Source organism: Homo sapiens, chromosome 10, assembly GCF_000001405.40.
Source record: "Homo sapiens chromosome 10, GRCh38.p14 Primary Assembly".
NCBI lineage: Eukaryota > Metazoa > Chordata > Mammalia > Primates > Hominidae > Homo > Homo sapiens.
Window position 1 is genome coordinate 115415222 of NC_000010.11, and position 18139 is coordinate 115433360.

Here is an 18139-nt window from a genome sequence, read left to right on the forward strand (position 1 = left end):
ATTTTGCCAGTCTTGTGGAGAATAATTTGTGTAGTTTTAATTTATATTTCCATTATTATAAGTGAAGTTGAATATTTTTCATGTGGTTAAGAGCCATTTTTATATCACTTTTGTGAATTGTCTCTTCATGTATTTTGCCAGTTTTTCTATAAAATTATTAGTTTCCCCCTTATTTTTAAAGAGTTCTTTATGAATTAGGGATTATAGCTCTTTTTCAGTGAGACATAAGTTGCACATATTTCCTCCCAGTTTGTCATATGTTTCTTGACAGTACTAATTGCACTTTTTTTTTTTGCTATGCAGCTTTCTTAAGGTAGTCATATTTCTTAGTCTTTTAAAAATTACATTTGGAATTTTATTCATGGTTAGGAAGCCTTTTATTTTGTAATTAATTATGTAATTAACTTGTCCTTTATTATGTAAAGGTTTTATTATGTAATTAACATCCTTTTTTTACTATATCGAAAATTTTATTTTTTACGTTTAGATTTATGCTTCATTTAGAGTTTTATTTTGTTTATGGTATGAGGATTGGATCTGATTTGATAGTTTTACAATAGCTATCAAGTTGTCTTAATTTATTATGAGGACTGTCTTACTCCAGTCATTTAAGACAACTTTTATCATTTACTAGATTTTTAGCATGTGATAGTTGAGCCTGTTTCTGGAATTTCTATTGTACACATTTGGTCTATTTATGTGCTAGTACCATACTATTTAATTATAGAGACTTTGAGTATATTTTATATCTTTTAGGTCTACCTCTCTTCAAAGCTCATCTTTTTCAGTGTTTTTCTAATTATTCTTGTATGTTTACTTTTGTCCCTAAGCATTGAGATCAACTTTTCTAGCTCCTATAAAATCTCATTGGAGTTTTCATTGAATCACATTAAAGTTAAAGATTATCTTTGAAATTAATTGCTATTCTGATGATGTTGAGGTGTCCTACAAAAGAATAAATAATGTCTTTCCACTTATTTACATCTACTTTTGTCTTTTTCAAGCTGAGTTTCATACCCAAAATCATATTGTTATGTTTTTATAGAAAGTATTTATTTCATTAGCTTTTTGGAGGTACCTGTGTTTCCTTAAATGACACATGGAATTAAACTACCAAAAATTGGTGTTTAAATTTAACTCATAAAATTTGAAAACCATTTTAATACATTCAAAATTATTTCAAAAATTATTATTTGTTAATATAAACCACTTTAGATAATATATGTTTCTAATTTGCTTTTTTGAGCTATAAATATTTAATAGAGAATGTAGTTCTTGTATTGGACACCTTCCAGAATTCTGCAAAGTCTTTCAGTTTGATTCTTAACAAGGTGGTGTTGGTTTGTTTTTTCTGTTAATTTTCTGTGCTTGACTATTGAAAACTTAGAATTGGGATGCCAAAGTTACTTCCTACACAAGAACATATAGTTTCATCCTTCCAAGAAATTTGTAGTTTAGAGAAAATAAAATTTCAACCATTCCTTTGTAAAACTTATACTGTGTTGAAGGTAAATATATTATAGTAATTTTCAGTTCAATATATGATTATGTAATTTGAATAAACCAAATATTGTTAACAAAAAAGAAAATGTTATAACTTTCATATTAGAGAAATGAGTTTGTATCCTTGAGCTTTTTAAGTCAATATCTCAGTATTATCACTTTGAAAACACTTGAGGGAGAGTGATACCAGCAAGATGGCAGAATAGGAGATAACCTACTAATATTTCTTCACAACAACAAGAACTCTGCACTTATCTACTGACAAAAGTCACTGGCAGGAGCCTCAGGAGTCAGGTAGGAGGGTGTGAAAGCCCACTGGAGCCCAAGGCCCAAAGAGGGTTGTTTTGAGAATGCAGACTGGCACCCAGGTAATAGATGCATTAATTTTGCTTCCAGGTTCAAGCCCAGAAATGGCCCTGATCCCCAAGGGATTTGACTACAGCCCTGTTTGGCCTTGAGCCTGCAACTAAAATCATCTTCTAAGGGGTCTAGGAGCAATCATGTGTACTAGTGTAAGAGACTTGTTTGCCCACTGATATCAGTCTCTGCAGTGAACCTAGAAGTAGTCCTGTGGCTCGACTCCAGCCCTCTACAGTTGAGTTCCCAGCACAGAACTGCTCACACAAAACCCCAGAGGGAGACTTGCCCATATCCTGCAGATTGTGAGTCTGAGCCTCCTTGATAGGCTTGCCAAACTTATCTTTCAGTAGTACCCAGGTTGTCATCTCACAGCACATCCTGAGGGATCCAGTCTGACCCCCAGCTCCCCCCACTGTAGTCAGGTAACTATCATATCTGTGCAGGGACCTGCTAGGAGATGTGCAACCATCTGAGGAATTGAGGTGGGCTATCCAACCTTTGTCCCACAGTAGATCCTGAGGGGACCCAGCCTCAGATTTGGCCCCTCCTGCTGCAGTTGGTGACATATCTCTCACCTGTTCAGAGACCTCCTGGGAGGCATGATTGTCTGGGGCACTGGGATAGTCTTCTGGGCTAGGTTTCCTGGCCAGCTTTCCCACACAGCCCAGTTACCCTCCTTGGATCTTCCCTAGGTCCATCTGCCCTGCAGAGCCCTGCCAACCTTGGAGCCCTCCTGAGACTTGTGGCAGATATGGGCTTAGACTGCCCTCTAGTGTTTAGGGAGTTGCAGTGGTCATGGGCTCAGAGAACACAACAGTCAGTCCCCTTAGAAACTCTGGAAGGCCCTCTGAAGAAGGATGAGCAAAAACAAAACTAGACTAGGAAGACTGGAATAAACACCTGATCTCTCAGTGCACACACATTGTTGCATGTCCATAAGCATCAAGATCATTCAGGGAAATCTGATCTCACCAAACAGACAAAATAAGGTGCCAGAGACTGGCCCTAAGGTGATGGAGACATGTGGTCTTTCAGACAAAGAATTCAAAATAGCTGTTTTTAGAAAGTTCAATAAATTTACTGAAGCTCAAACTTCAGTAAAATTCAGAGAAGCAATCAGAAATACATGAACAAAACTTAAGAGATTGAAATATTAATAATAAAAACAAATGGAAATCCTGGAGGTGAATGAAATGAATGAGTGAAATGAAATACAATGAATGAAATAAAAATGGAATAGAGAGCATCATCAGCACAATAGATCAAACAAAAGAAAGAATTAGTGAGTTCAAAGGTAGGCTATTTGAGAACATAGTCAGAGGTGAAAGAACCAAAAGAATGAAAAGGGCCAAAGAAAGCTTACCAGATCTGTGGGACAACATCAAAATAACACATTTGTGTTATTAGAATTCAAGAAGGAGTTGAGAGACAAAGGGGCCAAAAACTTATTAAAAATAATAACAGAAAACTTTTCAAGCCTGGGGAAAGATGTGAATGCCCAATTATAGCAAAGTCAAAGGTCACCAGATTCAATCCCAATAAGAATACCACAAGGCATGTCACAATTAAACTCACAAAGATCAATGACTAAGAGAGGGTCTAGAAAGAAGTGAGAAAAAAGAAGCAAATAACATTTAAGAGAGATCTAATATAACTGGCAGCATATTTCTCAGCAGAAACCTTTCAGGGCAGGAGGGAATGTGACAATATATTCAGAATGTGGAAGGAAACTACCTGCCAACCAAGAATACTATAGGCAGAAAAGGTGTATTTTAAAAATGAAGGAGAGAAGGACTTCTGCAGACAAACAAAAGCTGAGGGAATTAATGGCCACCAGACCAATTCTGCAAAAAATGCTGAAGAGAGCTCTTCAAACTTAAAGAAAAGAATACTTACATTGATTGTTAGGCTAATACTGTAATTTTGTTGTATAAACCACATTTATCTTTGTATAAAGAATGAACGACAAAACTATAAAAAACTACAATAATTTGTTAAGAGATAGACAATATGAAAAATATAAGCTGTGACATCAAAATTCAAAATATGGAAGGATAATGAGTTAAAATGTACCATTTTTGTTGTTTTCTTCTTTCCTTTGCGATCAAAATTAAGTTTTTATTGGTTTAAAATAACTTATTATGACTATAAGATGTTTTTGTGAGTCTCATGGTAATGAAAAAGCTAAAAGCTATAATAGATAACACTAAAAAAGTAAGGAATAAAACACATTACTAGAGTGAATCACATAACCACAAAGGAAGCCTTTAAGAGAGGAAAAAAGGAAAAAATATCTAGACAACTAAAAAAGAAGTTACACAATCGTGATAGTCATCCCTTACCTATCAATAACTACCTTGAATGTAAATGGTTGAAATTATTCAGTTAAAAGAGAGGCTGAACGGATAGAAAAATATGACCAAACTATGCTGCCTACAGGAGACTTACTTTACGTATAAAACAACATGCATAGATTGAAAGTAAATGGATGGGAAAAGCTATTTCATGGAAATGGAACCCCAAAAAGAACAGAAGTAGCTGTAATTATATGAACAAAATAGACTTTAAGTTAAAAACTGTAAAAAGAGACAAGGCCATTATATAATAATAGCAGGGGTCAATGCAGCAAGCAGATACAATTATAAACATATATGTGCCCACTAGCAGAGGACCTATGTATATAAAGCAAATATTAATAGATTTAAAGGGAGAGATAGACTGTAACACAATAATAGTAGGGGACTTCAACACTCCACTTTCAGCAATGTGCAGATCGTCCAGACAGAAAATCAACAAAGAAACTTCAGTGTCAGACAACACTCTTGACCAAATGGACCTAACAGACATTTACAGAGCATTCGGTCTAACAGCTGCAGAAGGCACAGTCTTCTCAACAGCACATGTAACATTGTTTAAGATAGATTATATGTAAGGGCACAAAACATGTCTTAACAATTTTTTTTTTTTTTTTTTTTTGAGACAGAGTCTCACTGTTGTCACCCAGGCTGGAATGCAATGGTGCTATCTCGGCTTAGTGCAACCTCCGCCTCCCAGGTTCCAGCAATTCTCCTGCCTTGGCTTCCTGAGTTGCTGTGATTACAGGTGCCTGCCACCATGCCTGGCTAATTTTTGTATTTTTAGTAGAGACGGGGTTTCACCATGTTAGCCAGGCTGGTCTCGAACTCCTGACCTTAGGTGATCCACCTGCCTCGGCCTCCCAAAGTGCTGGGATTACAGGCATGAGCCATGGCGGCCTGGCCTCAAATTTTTAAAAATCAAAGTCATATCAAGTATTTTTTTTCTGACCACTGTGGAATAAAACTAAAACCAATAACAGGAGGAACTTTGGAAACTGTATACGTACATGGAAATTAAACAAGTCAATGAAGAAATTAAAAAGGAATTTAAAACATTTCTTGAGAAAAATCAGAATGGAAATACAACATACCAAAACTTATGGGATATAGCAAAAACAGTTTTTAGAGGAAAGTTTATAGCAATAATCACCTATTTGAAAAAGTAGAAATATCTCAAATAAACAGCCTAATGTTGTACCTCAAAGACCTAGAAAACAAGAATGATCTAAGTCCAAAATTATGAGAAGGAAAGAAATAATAAAGAACAGAGAAGAAATAAAGGAAATAGAGACTAAAAATACAAAGCATCAAGAAAATGAAGAGTTGGTTTTTGAAATAAGAAACGAAATTGACAAAGCTTTAGCTAGCCTAAGAAAAAAAGAGGAATGATTCAAATGAATAAAATCAAAGATGAAAAAGGAGACATCGCAACTGATACCACAGCAATACAAAGGATCATTAGAGACTATAATGAGCAATGATAGACCAATAAATTTGAAAACTTTGAAGAAATGAATAAATTTCTTATAGCTTATCTTACCAAGATTGGATCATGAAGAAATAGAAAACCTGGGCAGACCAATAATGAGAAACAAGATTGAATCAGTAAAACAAAGACTCCTATCAAAAAAAGTTCAGGACCTGACAGCTTCATTGCTAAATTCTAGCAAATATTTAAAAATGAACTCATACCAATTACTATCAAACTATTCCAAAAAATTGAAGTAGAGGGCATTCTTCCAAACTCATTCTATGAGGCCAGCATTACCCTGATAACAAAACCAGACAAAGATAAAAGTATAAAATAAAACTACAGGCCAATATCCCTGATGGATATAGATGCAAAAACCCATAATACAGTACTAGCAAACTGAATCCAACAACATATTATAAGGTCATTGACCATGATTTAGTGAAATTCATCCCAGTAATGCAAGTACAGTTCAAACCACAAAAATTAATAAATGTGTTACATTGCATTACTAGGATGAAGGACAAAAACCATAGGATCATCTCAATAGATGCTAAAAAAAGAATTTGATAAAATTTAACATTCCTCCATGATAAAACCGCTGAAAAATTAGGTGTAGAGGGAACACACCTCAACATATGTGCACATATATGCATCCACAGCTAACATCATACCAAACAGGGAAAAGTTGAAAGCTTTCCCTTTGAATGCTGAAGCAAATGCCATAGTATGATGGCATTCCTATCAAACTATGACATTCTTTACATAATTAGAAAAAATTATTTTAAAATTCATATGGAATCAAAAAAGAGCTCGAGTAGCCAAGGTAATCATAAACAGAAAGAATAAAGCTGGGGATACCATGTTAATTGACTTCAAACTATATTACAAGGCTGTGGTAACCAAAACAGGATGGTACTTATACAAAGACAGACACATAGACCAATGGATCAGAATAGAGAGCCAAGAAATAATTCTGCATAGGTACAACTATCTAGTCTTCAATGAAGCTGACAAAAACAAGTAGTGATGAAAGGACTCCCTATTCAATAAATGGTGCTGTAATACCTGGCTAGCCATATGCAGAAGTTGAAACTGGACCCCTTTCTTACACCATATACAAAAGTCAACTCAAAATGGATTAAAGACTTAAATGTACGACCCAAAACTATAAAAACCCTGAAGGATAACCTAGATACCATTCTGGATGTAGGACCTGGCAAAGATTTCATGACGAATATGCCAAGAGTAATTGCAACAACAAAGAAAATTGACAAATGGCGCCTAATTAAACTGAAGAGCTTCTGCATGGCAAACAAAACTACCAGCAGAGTAAACAGACACCTTACAAAATAGGAGAAAATATTTGCAAACTATGCATCCCACAAGGATCTAATATCTAGAATCTATATGGAACTTAAATCAACAAGCAAAAAACGAACAACCGCATTAAAAAGTGAGCAAAGTACATGAACACACACTTTTCAGAAGAAGACATACATGTGTCCAACAAGTATGTGAAAAAATGCTCAACATCACTAACCATTAGAGAAATGCAAATCAGAACCACAATATGATACCGTCTCACACCAGTCAGAATGGGAATTATTTAAAAAAATAACAGATGCTGGCAAGGTTGCAGAGAAAAGGGGACCTTATACATTGCTGGTGGGATTGTAAATTAGTTTAGCCACTGTGGAAAGCAGTTTAGCAATTTCTAAAAGAACTCAGAGCAGAGTTACCATTTGACCCAGCAATGGAACACTTGCAGCTATAAAAAAAGAACAAGATCATGTTTTTGGCAGCAACATGGATGGAGCTGGAGGCCATTATCTTAAGTGAACTAACACTGAAGGAGAAAACCAAGTACTACATGTTCTCACTTTTTAGTTGGAGCTAAACATTTTGTACATACGAACATAAAGAAGGGAACAACAGACACCAGAACCTACTGGAGAGGTGGAGGAAGGGAGGAGGGTAAAGTTAGAAACAACACCTATCAAGTATTATGCTTATTACCTGGGTGGTGAAATTATCTGTACCCCAAACCTCTGTGACACACAATTTACCTATGTAACAAACCTGTGCATGTACCTCTAGTATAACCTAAAATAAAAGTTAAGAAAAATGATAGGAAAACAATAATTTATTGTACATTTTAAAATAAAACAGTGTAATTGGAAAGTTTGTGACACAAAGAAATGATAAATCCGTGAGGTGATGGATGTCCTTCTTACCCTGATGTCATTATTATACAATGTATGCCTGTATCAAAATATCTATGTACCCCATAAATAAGCACACTTACTATGTACCCATAAACATTAAAAGGTAAAAATTGGCCAGGTGCGGTGGCTCAAACTGTAATCCCAGCACTTTGGGAGGCTGAGGTGAGTGAATTGCTTGAGTCCAGGAGTTGGAGACCAGCCTGGCCAACACGGCAAAACCCTGTCTTAAGAAAAATACAAAAAGCTAGCCAGGTGTGATGGTGTGTAGACCCAGCTACTAGGGAGGCTGAGGTGGGAGAATCACCTGAGCACAGGAGATGAAGGCTGCAGTGAGCTGAGATTGCACCACTGTATTCCAGCCTGGGCAACCGAGTGAGACTGTGTCTCAGAAACAAACAAGCAAATGAACAAACAAACAAACAAGTTAAAAATTTAAAAAGACACACAAACTAATGAAACAGAATAAAGAACCCAGAAATAAATACACGCATGTATACCATCTGATTTTTGGCAAAAATGCCAAGAATACACGTTAGGGAGATAATATTTTCTTTAATAAGTGATGCTGGGAAAAAGTTTCATTAAGAAGAATGAAACTAGACCCCATCTGTCACCACTTAAAAAAAAATCAAAATGGATTAAAGATTTAAATGTAAGTCCTCAAAATGTGAGACTACTGGAAGAGAACACGGAGGTAACACTTTATTACATTTCTCTGGGGAAGGTTTTTGTTTGTTTGTTTTGGAAAACACCTCAAAAGCACAGGCAACAAAAGCAAAAATAGAGAAATGGGATTACATCAAAACAAAAGCTTCTGTGCAGCAAAGGAAATAATCAGCAGAGCAAAGAGACAACCTATAGAATGGGAGAAAATATTTGCAAACTATGCATCTGATAAGGGATTAATATCCAGATATGTTAGGAACCCAAAGAACTCAATAGCAAAAAACCCCACAAGTAGTAAAGAGTGGACAAAAGATCTGAATAGACATTTCTCAAAAGAAGACATACGAATGGCTCACTGATATAAGAAGAAGAAACTCAACGTCACTCATCATTAGGAAAATGCAAATCAAAATCATGATGAGATACCACCTCACACTAGTTAGAATGGCTGTTATGAAAAAGACAAAAAAATAACAAATACTGGCGAGGTTGTGGAGAAAGAGGATCTTCTATCCACCGTTGGTGGAAATGCACATTAATACAGCTGTTTGTGGACAACAGTATGGAAGTTTCTCCAAAAATTAAAAACAGAATGAAAATATGTTTCAGTAATCTCACTACTGGATATTTATCCGAAGGAATTGAAATTCGTATTTTGAAGATACATCTGTACTCTTACTTTTATTGCAGCACTATGTACAGTAGCCAAGATATGGAATCAATCTAAGTCTGTATCAAGAGATGAATGGATAAAAATATGTCATATATTTTTGGAATGTATTTTATCCATAAAAATAATGAAATCCTGTCATTTGGGACACAACATGGATGAACCTAGAGGACATTATATTATGTGAAATAAGCACAGAAGAAAAATACTGCATGATCTCACTTATATGTAGACTCTAAAAAGACTGATCTCATACAAGTTGAGAGTAGAATTGTGGTTATGAGAATTGTGGTTGTGAGAAGCTGTGGAGGATTTTGAAAGGCTTGGGAGGGTATGAGGAGGGTGGAATGGGGAGAGATTGGTCAATTTATACAAAGTTACAGTTAGATAGGAATCACACTTTGTGGTGCTCTATTGCATATTTCTAAAACTAGAAAACTACCATCAATGACAAAATCTTAAAAGTGGTGTTTGGAAATGTCACAGAAAACCTAACACCCAAAGTTCCTTTGTTTCACAGAGTCCTTTTCTTCCAAGTTAGTGTTTTAAAGGATTATCATATTTTGACTTTAATTTTATAATTAATATACAGTAAAATTTACTCTTCAACTCATTTTTTTCCATGAATATAAAAACTAGCTAGCACATGGCTGAAAAATGCATTGGGAATGTAATCTGATTATTTAGCCTCTAATTTTTCACTATTTGACTCTTCATTATATATATGTATTCTACTATTCCTCTGTTCTTATGAATGCTTCTGAAAAACTAAAGACATTTTAGACTCTTTTACCTCTTTAAACTTTTAACTAGAGTTGAAATATATGTAATATATTTATATAAAATATGTATGTAATAATTACTTAAACCATATGCAAATATAATTTTTAGTATTTAAATATTAAGTCACTTTATTAAGTTACCCTGGTGCATAAATTTTATAATAATTTATTTTGGAGGACGTTCCAAGAAATGTTATGCAAAACCATGCTATATCTCTATTAGACATTGTCAATTTTATTTGGCAAACAAGGTTTTGTGAACTTGAAAAATTTTGAAAATACTTATGATTTTCTCCCACTGCTGTAGTTAACTATATTTTTATGTATTAAATATAAGAGTACATGAGTATGGATGCGCATATGTTCTTTCACTTTTTAAAAATCTGTTTATGTGAATTCAAAGTTTGAGCTCCTGAATTTAATCTATATTAGTCAATTTTGTTTGGGTTAGAGAAACCTTTTTTTCCAATTATTTACCGGAGGAGATCTGTTTTTAAAAATACAGATTAATTGGTGTAGAAACTGGTGTAGAAAATTTTTTTAACTGGTGTAGAAAATATGTTAATTTCAAACAATACCACAAGTGTGAAAATAATGTGGATTTATGAATTCCCTGAATTTTCTTCTACCTAAAAATATCTCTGTATCTTATTTCAGACTTTCACTTCTTCTGTTTATTAAGGCAGGATACATATCCCAAAGCTCATAATTATATTTCATCTGCCTTTTAACATTCCTTATATGCCTATCATGTATGTTTATTTTCTTTTTCTTCACTATTTCATCTCTCACTTTTTCTCATATATAAAGCTTTCTACAATTAATTCAAATTTCAAACACATCTTTCAAAGATGTGTTTTTGAAATTTCAAATAATGGTATAGTTTTAAATATGTTTTGATGTAGAATATAAATACTTTTTTGCTTGAAGAAAAACATGAGGCTTTTGAATTGCATTGTTTAATAGTAAATGAGTTTTTGTGTTTCTGCAGATGTGACTCTGAAAATCGCTATGTTGGTAATCCACTTAGAGGAACATGTTATTGTAAGTATATGTGTATTCTTCATTTTAAATAATTGGTGCATACTATTAGTTTCAAATAATAAAGGTCATCTTGAATAACTAAAATTGTCATGAATATCTTGCAATTTCTATTTCTTAAATTTTATAATACAACTTTACGTATATTGCTAAGAAATATATTCTCTTAATTATATTTGGTACATTTTTTCTACTCTGAGCAGTAAAATAGCAATAGATTTTGTTGTGAACATAGAACAAAGTATAGAACTTGAGTAAACTCATGTGATTTTAATGTAGTCCTTTTCATTATGATGGATTTTTGAAGAACTTGAATTTTATAATAGATATTTTGCAGAATTTTGGGCATTACTAAAAGGCTGCACTGATTTTGTACCAACAGATGCTTTCATTGGGTACTGATTATATGGTAGGTATATATTTAACTTTTGTTTTGTTTTCTGAGATGGAGTCTTGCTCTTGTCGCCCAGGCTGGAGTGCAACGGCACAATCTCAGTTCACTGCAACCCCTGCCTCCCAGGTTCAAGTGATTCTCCAGCCTCAGCCTCCCAAGTAGCTGGGATTACATGTGCCCACCACCACGCCCAGCTAATTTTTGTATTTTTTGTAGAGTTGGGGTTTTGCCACGTTGGTCAGGCTGGTCTTGAACTCCTGACCTCATGATCCGCCCACCTTGGCCTCCCAAAGTGCTGTGATTACAGGCGTGAGCCACTGCACCTAGCTTATCTTTAACTTTTAAAGAAACAGCCAAATGCTGTTTCCCCAAATGGTTGTACCATTTTACATTCCCACCAGCAGTGTATGAGAGTTTCAGTTCTTCCACATTTCAGAAACTTTTTTAGAGTTAGTCCAAGTTTTAGCCATTCTAATAGGTGTGTAATGGTATCTAACTCTCATTTTAATTTGCACTTTCCTAATTACTAATGATGTTCAGCATCTTTTCATAGGATTGTTTGCCATCTGTATATTTTATTCGATGAAGGGTCTGTTGAAATCCTTTGCCCACTTTTTAGATTGTTTTTATATTAACAAATTTTCCACATACTTCATTCTAGATACAAGTCCTTTATCAGATATATGACTTGCAAATATTTTTTACTAGTGGTAACTTGTCTTTTTATCTTATTAACACTATTTTCTTGAAGAACAGATTTTAATTTAGATGAAGCTTGACTTATCAGTTTGTTCTTTTGTGAAATCTTAGCCTAACAGGTCACTGTGATTTTCCCCAGGTTTTGGTAGAAATATTATATTTTTAAGTTTTCTATTTAAGTATATGGTCCATTTTGAATTAATATTTGCATATATAGTAGGTGATGGATTGAAGTTCTTTTTTTCTCCATGTAAATATTTAAATGTTCAAGCACACTTTATGTGAAGACTATACTTTAATCAATGAATTTCTGTGCACCTTTGCTGAAAAACACTTGTCTGTAAATGTGTGGGTCTGTTTCTGGACTCTTTTCTGTTTCTTTAATCTATTTGCTTATTTTTATGCTAACGTAGCACATTTATAATTAATGTGATTTTATAAGTCCTGAAATCGGTTAGTATTTATTCTCCAACTTTGTTCTTCCTTTTCAAACTTGTTTTGACTACTCTTTTTTTTTTTGCATTTGCAAGTGAATTTTAGAATCTGCCTTTCAATTTTCAAAAAAATTGCTATAATTTGTTTTGTGATTTTGTTTAACTTATAGATGAATTTGGGGAGAATTGGCATGTTAACTATAGTGAGTCTTTGGAATTATTGTATTTTTTATTTTTTCTCAATTCTTTAATTTTTACTATTAATATTTTATAGTTATAACTGTACACATATTTCACATTTTTGTCAGATTTATCCCTGTATATTTTAAATTTGTGATGCTATTGATAATGTTAGCTTAAAATATTTCATTCCTGATTTCCTGATTGTTTCTGGCATTTATAATTGATTTTATATTGGTTTTACATCCTGTAGCTTTGCAAAAGTCACATTTTACTTCTACTACCATTTTTTGTTGACTCTCAGAATTTCTACACATACAATGTTTCCTGCAAATAATAGCAGTTGGATTTCTTTTCCTCTCTTGATGGTTTTCTTTCTTTTTTCTGCCTTATTGCTATAGCTAGCACCTTTAATAATGTGTTGAAAAGATGTGAACATGAAAGTATTATTGTCTTGTTTCTGATCTAAGAGGGAAAGCATTCAGTCTTTTATCATTAAATATGATGTAGGTTTTTGCTAACTGCCTTTATCAGATTAAGGAAATTGCCTTCTATTCCTACTTTGCTGTACATTTTTTATCAGAAATGGTTGTTTATGTCCAATGCATTTCCTGCATTAATTTATATGATTATCAGAAATTTCTATTTTACTTTGTTAATATAGTGATTTTAGTATTTTTAATTTAATGAACGGTATACAGTATAAGAATATACTACCATTTTTGTCCATTCATAAGTTCATGGACATTGGGATTTTTTTCTAGGTTTTGTCATTAAGAAAAATGCTGCAGTGAATGAACATTCATATGGTCTTTATGTGAACATATGTTTTTATTTTCCTTGGGTAGATTCCTAGCAATGTATAGTTTGGTTGTATGATAAGCTTTTGCTTAACTACTTTAGAAACTGCCAAATGGTTTTCCAGAATGTTGGTAACATTTTTTAATTTATTCTAGAAAATTTTGATACTAGAAATTTCATTCCTTGACATCCTCATCAATACAACATTGTCTCTTTGATCATAGACATTCTAGAGTGTGTATAGTGGCATTTTGTGGTTTTGTTTTGTATTTCTTTAATGACTAATAGTGTTGAACTTGATTTTATGTGTTGATGCCTTGAAAATGATTTGCTGGGTGTGTAAAATTTATCCTTTTTTCAGTTTTTGTTGCTGTTTTAAATTGTATTTTTCAAAATTTTGTTTTCTACTCTTGTTTGATATATAAAAATAAAATTCGTTTTAGTATATTGATCTTATATTCATTAACTTTGGTGAACGCTTACTAAATTCTGTTTGTAGATTTGCTTGGATTTTTAAATGCAGTTAATTATATTACATGAAAATAAGCACAATTTTCTTCCTTTTTCAATATTTTTTACCCTTATTGGGATGTTGAGACCTCTATTTCTGGGCTGAATCACAGTGATGATAATAGATATCCTTATCAGGTAGGATGTTTATTATAATTTATGGAATATTCCTTGTATCACATTAAGCAAATTCCTATCTTATTTTGTGACAAGGTTATATCATGAATAACTTTCTTTTACCTTATTAAATACTAAGTTAAATTAATAGATTTTCTCACATTAAACATCTTTTCATTCTGGGCTAAACCATACTTAGTCATGGCATATTAGTATTTGGATACTGCTAAATATTAGTTGTTTATATTTTAATTTAGAATATTTTTAGTATGAAAGAAGACGATCTCTTTTTTGAATGTTATTTTTTCTGACTAAATGACCTATGACTGCAGTTTTTAAAAATTATTTTCTGGCCGGGCGCTGTGGCTCACACCTGTAATCCCAGCACTTTGGGAGGCCACAAAGGGCGAATCACGAGGTCAGGAGATCGAGACCATCCTGGCTAACGCGTTGAAACCCCGTCTCTACTAAAAATACAAAAACAAAATTAGCCGGGCGTGGTGGCGGGCGCCTGTAGTCCCAGCTACTCCGGAGACTGAGATGGGAGAATGTCATGAACCCGGGAGGCGGAGCTTGCAGTGAGCCGAGATCGCGCCACTGCACTCCAGCCTGGGTGGCAGAGTGAGACTCTGTCTCAAAAAACAACAACAAAAAAGTTTTCCATTCTATATATCTGCAATTGTGGTAAAAGCTTTTAAAAATGAATTTGGAACAATTGCTATCTTCTTTTAAAACAGGAATAGTTAAAACTTTAAATAAAAATTAGGTATTTCAACAAAAATTTTTGGGTCTAGTGCTTTTTAATTGGTAGTTATTTTATTTTTTTATTTTTTGCTATTTCATAGCATTAGCTTTTGGTTTTATTTATCTTTTCTGTGGATCTTGTTTTTTAGTTCATCAATTTCAGATTTTGTCTTTAATAATTTCCTTCTCATATACTGTTTGTTGTTGTTTTGCCTATATTTGCTATAGTATTTTAAAATTATCATTTTTTTACAGAATTTATGAATTCCTTTTTTATCTTTAAAAACGTAATTATTTTCTTAGTTCCTTTCTTAAGTGATTCTTATTTTTTAACTTTTATTTTAGGCTCAGGGCTGCATGTGCTGCCTGTTATATAGGTAAATTGCATGTTGTGGGGGTTTGGTATACAGATTATTTCATCTCCCAGGTAATAAGTGCAGTACTTGATAGGTAGTTTTTAGATCCTCACCCTCCTCCAATCCACAAAACATTTGTTAACTATTTTTAATTTTTTAAAAATGTTACTGAGAATGTGGCATATAAAATCCCAAATTTTGTTAAGGTATTTTTGCCCTTTATGACACATTTGATAGGGTATGGAGGCAATTTTGTTTGTCACAACAGGGGAGTGGGACGTGGGTGCCGTGGGCATCTCATGGGTAGAGGCTAGGGATGCTGGTAAACATCCTGCAATGAAAAGGTCAACCTCCCCAGAACAAAAAATCATGTGGCCAAAAATATCAATAGTATTTAGGTTGAGAAATCCTGATTTAGAGGCTTAATCAAATTTATATCTGATTTTGGAGAAAATAATAATTGTAGATGGTTTGGTTTTCTTTGTCTAGAAGAGTCATATCATGTCTGTTAGTGTCTCTTATGTTCTTGGCACACACTGACGCTCAATGTTTAGATTTTAATTGATCAAGATTGAAAAGATATAATATTCTGCCAGGCACAGTGGCTCACGCCTGTAATGCCAACACTTTGGGAGGCCGAGGCGGGCGAATCACCTGAGGTAGGGAGTTCGAGACCAGCCTGACCAACATGGAGAAACCCGTCTCTACTAAAAATACAAAATTAGCTGGGCGTGGTGGTGTGCGCCTGTAATCCCAGCTATGTGGGAGGCTGAGGCAGGAGAATCGCTTGAACCTGGGAGGTGGTGGAGGTTGCGGAGAACTGAGATTGTGCCATTGCACTCGCACCTGGGCAACAAGAGTGAAACTAAAAAAAAAAAAAAAAAAGAAAAGAAAAGATATAATATTCCAATTTCTTCTTCATGTTTTGGTTTGAATACTTCGGTAAAAACAAATTTTCGCTCATCAGCTGTTTGGTTGCTTATTGCTACAGTTCGCATAGGGAAGGCATGATAAATGTTACAGTTTTTCCCTGTATTTTTTATTTATTCCCTTTACTACTTTTATGTATGTATTTATTTATTTAAAATTAAAAGTTAGCTCAATATCTTTCAAAAATGACAGTTTTTGTCACTAATGAACTTATAGATCCATACATGTTTTAATCCGTGTGCAATTATTATTCCTACTGATGCTCAGACTGTCCAATTACTGTGTCATTTAAATTATCTTTATTCTCTAGCTTTTCCACATCATTTTTGTTTTTCTTATTTCAAATATCCTGGATTTATTTTATAGGGATTTTTTTCTTTGGTTTTTTAAAATTAGAAATTCCTCTTTTTTTGAGCCTTTAGTTTCTTTTATCTGCCAAAGGAGTAACTAGTTACCATTATGAACACATTATGTAATCTCTGTTTATTACAAATATACTAATGTTTAACCCTTTTATAAAAACTAGCATAATTTTTCTTCTATGTCAATGTTGTCCAATACAAATATGATGTGAGCCTCATATGTAATTTAAAATTTTCTAGTAGCTTCCTTTAAAAAGTAAAAGAAAATGAGTAAAATTAATGTTAATAAAACCTTTTTTAGCTTAACACATCTAAAATTTTTTCATTTTAATGTGTAATCAGTTTTAAAAGTCATTAAGTCATTAATGAGATATCTTACTTTTTTTGTACTAGTGTTTGAAACAAAGTTTACATTCCATACTTACATCACATTTTAATTCAAATCAGTTACTTTTCAACTAGTCAATAGCCACATATGGCTAGTGGTGACCTTATTGGACAACTCTTCTCTAGATTACATAGGATCCCTGCGTTCTTTTAGAAATATCAGAAGCATAATGGTAAAGCACTAGGTGGCACTCTTGGTATTGCTGTGAGACGTTTAAAGCTTAATATTTGAAAAGAAGTGATGCTTAAAAAAGAAAAGGACAATAACTCTTGTAATAATGTTAATAGAAACTATTCTAATTTTCAAGATTAGATCGAAATTTAAGATGCAAGTCCACACTGTAACTTAAAGCAATTGAGTGCAATGTGGTATTAACTTAATTGAAAGTGATATGTCAGCAGTTGTAATCTATTTACTTAGTAGTTTTTCAAAGTTCATTTTAAAACCAAAAACCAAATATATTATAAAGCATGCCTCACAAAGGAGGGAAAACGTTCAAACAGTGTTAACTAATTTTATTGGCCCTTGTAAACATTGAATTACTCAATATATTTTTAGTAAATACAAAAAGTAGTAGTCACAAAGTATCACAAAGTAGTATAGTTTTTTTTTCTTAAATGCTTTCTTTTAATTGTAATAACAATTTTAACAAAGAAAACCTTAAAAATGAAAGACTAGGCTGTAGAAATGCTATATAGATGATATATTTCAAAAAGTAGAATGAGAGTACATAAAGTCACTTTCTGCAGTCATTTACTTTATTTCACTATTGTGCTAATTCTTTAAATACATGTAATTTGCAATGCTCACACCCCTAATTATTGTGTTTTAATATACTTCCAAGTAATTGAACACATTTTATTTCATCTTTTACTCTTTAAAAAATTACTGTTTTATGTTGAATTTCTTTTATTAGAGTTTCTTTTATTTAGAGTTCATGGTGGAATTTTGTAGTAATAATAAACTACCTATTTTGAGAGTAGGAAATTTAAGTTGAAAAAGATGACTTAAAATAGTATGTCAGTTTAATTACTTAAAATAGTATGTCATAGAAAACAATGAAACCAATTAATACTTGAATTGACCCTTATATTTAATGGAATTATCCTGGTTTTTGTTCTAAAACTGAATAAAATAATTTTCCTG

At 33.1% G+C, this 18139-nt stretch overlaps 1 protein-coding gene across 11 annotated transcripts in view, besides 1 other annotated feature; it reads left to right on the plus strand.

The window, feature by feature from the left end:
- The window catches only part of ATRNL1 (attractin like 1), an 855635-nt gene that overhangs the window by 321857 nt on the left and 515639 nt on the right, over window positions 1-18139 (plus strand). For 9 of the 11 annotated variants that reach the window (NM_207303.4, XM_011539587.2, XM_011539588.3 and 6 more), the window contains one exon: window positions 11029-11081. The exons of 1 other annotated variant lie outside the window; for it this stretch is intronic. In NM_207303.4, coding sequence (NP_997186.1) covers window positions 11029-11081 — 53 coding nt within the window. Of the gene's footprint in view, window positions 1-11028; window positions 11082-11460; window positions 14038-18139 lie in introns of those variants that run through there. One more of the 11 variants, XM_017016036.2, reaches the window with a different exon arrangement.
- Window positions 2547-2646: a silencer, noted in NCBI's record as "silent region_2853". NCBI's record gives its function as "represses an Ori minimal core promoter by ATAC-STARR-seq in GM12878 lymphoblastoid cells {active_cell/tissue: GM12878}" and the evidence as "EXISTENCE:reporter gene assay evidence [ECO:0000049][PMID:35858748]".